The sequence below is a fragment of the Homo sapiens genome, chromosome 4, assembly GCF_000001405.40.
Source record: "Homo sapiens chromosome 4, GRCh38.p14 Primary Assembly".
NCBI classification, from domain to species: domain Eukaryota; kingdom Metazoa; phylum Chordata; class Mammalia; order Primates; family Hominidae; genus Homo; species Homo sapiens.
In genome coordinates this window covers 70,811,068-70,815,782 of record NC_000004.12, presented here as the reverse complement: position 1 = coordinate 70,815,782, position 4,715 = coordinate 70,811,068, and the positions used below count along the sequence as shown (strand labels likewise).

General features: G+C 40.3%; 1 non-coding gene across 1 annotated transcript; it reads right to left on the bottom strand.

Moving 5' to 3' along the window:
• Positions 1–3,436: 3,436 nt before the first annotated feature.
• On the bottom strand, positions 3,437–3,537 carry LOC124900900 (small nucleolar RNA U13). Its single transcript, XR_007058542.1, has one exon. It is a non-coding gene; the product is annotated as a small nucleolar RNA U13 (small nucleolar RNA).
• Positions 3,538–4,715: the final 1,178 nt, after the last annotated feature.

Here is a 4,715-nt window from a genome sequence, read left to right as displayed (position 1 = left end):
CCTTTTTGTGAACCTACATTTTAATTTAATTTAATTTGGATAAGTATTTAGGAGTGAGATTATCCTGAGTTGATGTATTTTAAATTTTACTAGAAGACGACAAACCTTTTCCTAAATGGTTATCCTGGTTTACATTCCCAGAGTTCTAGTAGGTCCATATCCTTACCATTTGCTGTTGTCAGTCTATAATTTTAGCCATTGTGTAGTGGTATCTTCTGGTTTTAATTTGCATTCCCTGACAATGAATAGTACTTTTTCATAAGCTTACTAGCCATTTGGATATCTTTAGTAAAGTTGAAGTGTCTGTTTCTTCTCTTATTCAGGATGTTTTGCCATCCATTTATTTTTTTCTTATTTGCTGAAGAAATAAGATTAACCTGTAGGTTTCCATAATCTGAGTTTGGCTGATTGCCTTTGTGTGATGTTTATTAACCGCTTTTCTATTGGCTTTGGTCTTTTAACTAATCTGCAGGAGTACTTTGTTCCTATAGTGAGCTTTAAATACCTTTTCCCCCCAGTTTGTCCTCTTTGTTTGCTCATGATGGCAGAAACTATTTTTACATCGCTGAATTCTTAAATCTCCCCTTTTATAGTTTCAAGGTTTTATGTCAGCATTAGAACATCTTAGTGAAATGGTTCTGAAAGCACTTGGGGATAAAGCATGAAGGTGTATAACCAAAGTAGACTCTAGAATATGGATGGATTCATTGAAGGTCACAAGGATCACCAAGATATGTTTAAGAATCTTAATTTGAAGCCCACAGGCAAAATTTAACAAGTTTATTCAAAGACTTGTGATTTGAAAACATACCTGGTTATGGCCTGGCTTGGTGGCTCATTCCTGTAATCCCAGCACTTTGGGAGGCCGAGGTGGGCGAATCACCTGAGGCCAGGAGTTCGAGACTAGCCTGGCCAACATGGTGAAACCCTGTCTGTACTAAAAATATAAAAGTTAGCCGGGTGTGATAGTGCATGCCTATAATCCCAGCTACTTGGGAGGCTGAGGAGAATTGCTTGAACCAGGGAGGCAGAGGTTGCAGTGAGCCGGGATCACGCCACTGCACTCCATCCTGGGCAACAGAGTGAGACTCCGTCTCAAAAACAAAAACAAACAAAAATACCTGGTTATGATGGAAATAAAGAGGTTCTGAACCTTTGCTGCTGCTGCTTGACAGAAGATGGCAGACATTTGGGAATAAAGACCAAGAGCTAGGGAGACAAGTTATTAACAGTTTCTGATGGGCTGGCTGTTGATTCATTCATTTCTTGCCTCCTCAAGAAAGCAAGATGGGGCTGAGCATGGTGGCTCACACCTGTAATTCTAGCACTTTGGGAGGCCGGGGCAGGTGGATCACCTGAGCTTAGAAGTTTGAGACCAGCCTGGGCAACATGGTGAAACCCATCTCTACCAAAAATACAAAAACTAGCTAGCCATGGTGGCTCACGCCTGTAGTTCCAGCTACTCAGGAGGCTGAGGTGGGAGTATCACTGGAGCCTGGGAAGTGGAAGCTGAGATCACACAGGTTACACCACTGCACTCCAGCCTGGGTAACAGCAAGACAAAAATAAATTGCGGAATACGAGCAATGTTATGCTAGAAGAACATAGTATTTGTGATAGATGTTGTAATTGAATATGAATGATACTTTATTTTTTCTTAACTTTACCTTCCACCAGCTCACTCCATGAATGATACTTTTGTGCCATAAAGCAGCATCCAGAATGCTAAGTCATTACTGCTTTCTGGAGACTTGTACAGCTTTTTCACTGTACTTGCCCTTGCCCTTTGGAAGCCTGAGTTACCTCTTCTTTTCCATGCTTAATTAAGTCTTAGGGATCTGATATCCTCAGTGATGCTTACAACCGCTTGCTGGATTTTTTTTTTTTTTAAATATAGGGTCTCACTCTGTCGCCCAGGTCGGAGTGCAATAGCGCAATCTTGGCTCACTGCAACCTCTGCCTCCTGGGTTCAAGCGATTCTCCTATCTCAGCCTCCCGAGTAGCTGGTATTACAGGCATGTGCCACCACGCCAAGCCAATTTTTGTACTTTTAGTAAAGATGGGGTTTCACTACATGACTGGCCTCGAACTCCTGGCCTCAAGTGATCTGCCTGCCTCGGCCTGCCAAAGTACTGGGATTACAGGTGTGAGCCACTGCACCTGGCCTACTGGTTCTATTTTTAAATTAATTTTACATTTCAAGATAATTCACTGACTAAAGTTTGTGCCACTTATTCTAGGTGTAGAAATTGTGCTTGTCAGATACGTGGTTTCTGATTTGGTATATTGACTGGCATGCTTACAAGAATCTTTATACCAAAGTAGTGTGTTAACATCAAAATTAATCTGTTCCCAGCATGGGAGACCTGTCATCGATGACAGTTCCCAAACCAGCTATTGTCTAAGAATTATTAAGATTTGACTTGGGATAACTTTTTGGGTAATATATTAGGCTAAGTTAATTTGAAGGAAGTTTTACTGTAAATCAAAACAGGACCACTAAACTACTGAAATATAATTATTTAAAAACCGCCCCCATTTTTTGGTGAACAAAGCTGAAATGAGGCTGTAATGGAGAACCTCCTTTCACAGAATGGTTAAATGTCCTTTAAGAGTTTCATCATATGTTTTTATAACTTGACTTATAGTGAATGAACTAAGGACTTTGTCATAGTTCCGATCTGCTTATCAACCTTGCAAAACTTGGAGTCTATTTGGAAATAAGTAAGAACTCAAACTGCATTTAGGGATGAGTTCAGTCAGGTTCTATAGGGTTAGACCTATACTTGCTTTGAGTATGAAAGCACAATTTTTTAATATATAAACTTTATTTTAGAGTAGTTTTAGATCACTGGGTGTGGTGGCTCGTACCTGTAATCCCAGCACTTTGGGAGGCTGAGTCGGGCGGATCATGAGGTCAGGAGTTTGAGACCACCCTGACCAACATGGTGACACCCCATCTCTACTAAAAATACAAAAAATTAGCCGGGCATGGTGATGCGTGCCTGTAATCCTAGCTACTAAGGAGGCTGAGGCAGGAGAATTGCTCGAACCCGGGAGGCAGAGGTTGCAGTGAGCCGAGATTGCGCCATTGCACTCCAGCCTGGGCGACAGAGTGACACTCCATCTCAAAAAAAAAACAAAGTTTTAGATCTACAGAGACATTGCAAAAAGAGTACAGAGTTCCTGTATACGCCTCACCCACCTGTATACCTATTGTTAGTATCCTACATTACTGCAGGATATTTGTCACAACTAAGGAACCAAATTTGATACATTACTATTAACTAAATCCCACAGTTCAGATCTTTAGTTTTTTTCCAAATATTATTTTCATTCCAGGATCCCACAATTACATTCAGTTATGTCTCTTTAACCACCTCAGATGTTTTTGTTTTTAATGACTTCAGATTCCCAACCTTTTTAACTTTTTTCACGTCAGATGGGTAATGTCCTGATGTAACAAGGTGTGAAGGAGGCACATCTCACACAGAAGTGTGAAAGCCCAGTCGTCACGCTTATGAACTACAGAAGGATCCCAGACTTGTTTTTGATGACCATGACAGTGTTAAGGGGTACTAGCTGGTTTTGTAGAATGTTCGTAAGGTGAGGTTTTCTGATTGTTTTCCTTCTGGTCTTAGGAGGAAGACCACAAAGGGGCATTTTCATCACATCAAGGGTGCATATTTTTAATAGGGCTTATCACTCATTATATTAATACAAATTTTGATCACCTGGCCAAGATAGTGTTTGCCAGGTTACTATAAATTTTTTTTCTTCTTTACATATTGTACTCTTAAAGCAAGTTACTAAGCACAATCCATACTCGAAAGGTGGAGAGTTAAGCTCTATCTCCTTGAAGTGGTGAGGGGCGGGGGGTATCTACATAATTATTTGGGCTTTTTCTGTATAGGAGAGATGCTACCGCTCCATCAGGTCATATACACACATGGACTCATGGGTACTTACTTTATCCTTTGGGTTATAATCCTAAGGTGCATTATTTACTTTGTTGCTGAGATTTGTTTCATCTTTGGCCATTGGGCATTCTATCAGTTGGCTCCTGTGTCCCTTTCACATGCCTACATCCTTGTTTGTGGAACACTTCTTTACTTTCTGGCACTACAAGATGCCCTAGACCCAGAATCAGCCATTTCTCTAGGGAGCCCTGATTCCTTTTCTTGGAGAATGGTATTAGAAAACAAGATCTGGGCATTGGATGTACCCGTTGCTGCTGGCATGTCTGCTGCTAGGCCCTCTCAGTGAACAGAGATATATGCCTGTGTAATAACCCAAATAGACACACATAATTGTAATTACTTTCTGAATCCTTCCGGAAAACACAATTTTTTTTAAACTAGTAAAATATACATAAAACTTGCTGTTTTAACCATTTGTAAGCGTACATTTCTGTGGCATTAAGTGCATTCACATTGCTGTGCAACCATTACCACCATCTGTCACCAGAATTTTTCATCTTCCTCCAACACAAACTGTACCTATTAAACACTGACTCCCCATTCTGCTCTTCCTTAAGCCCCTGGGAACCATCATTTTACTTTATGCTTTGACTATTCTAGGTACTTAGTGTAAATGGAGTCATACAATATTTGTCCTATGTATGACTGGCTTATTTCACTTATCATGTCCTTAAGTTTCATCTATGTTGTAGCATGTGTCAGAATTTGTTCTTAAAGCTGAATAATATTCAATCG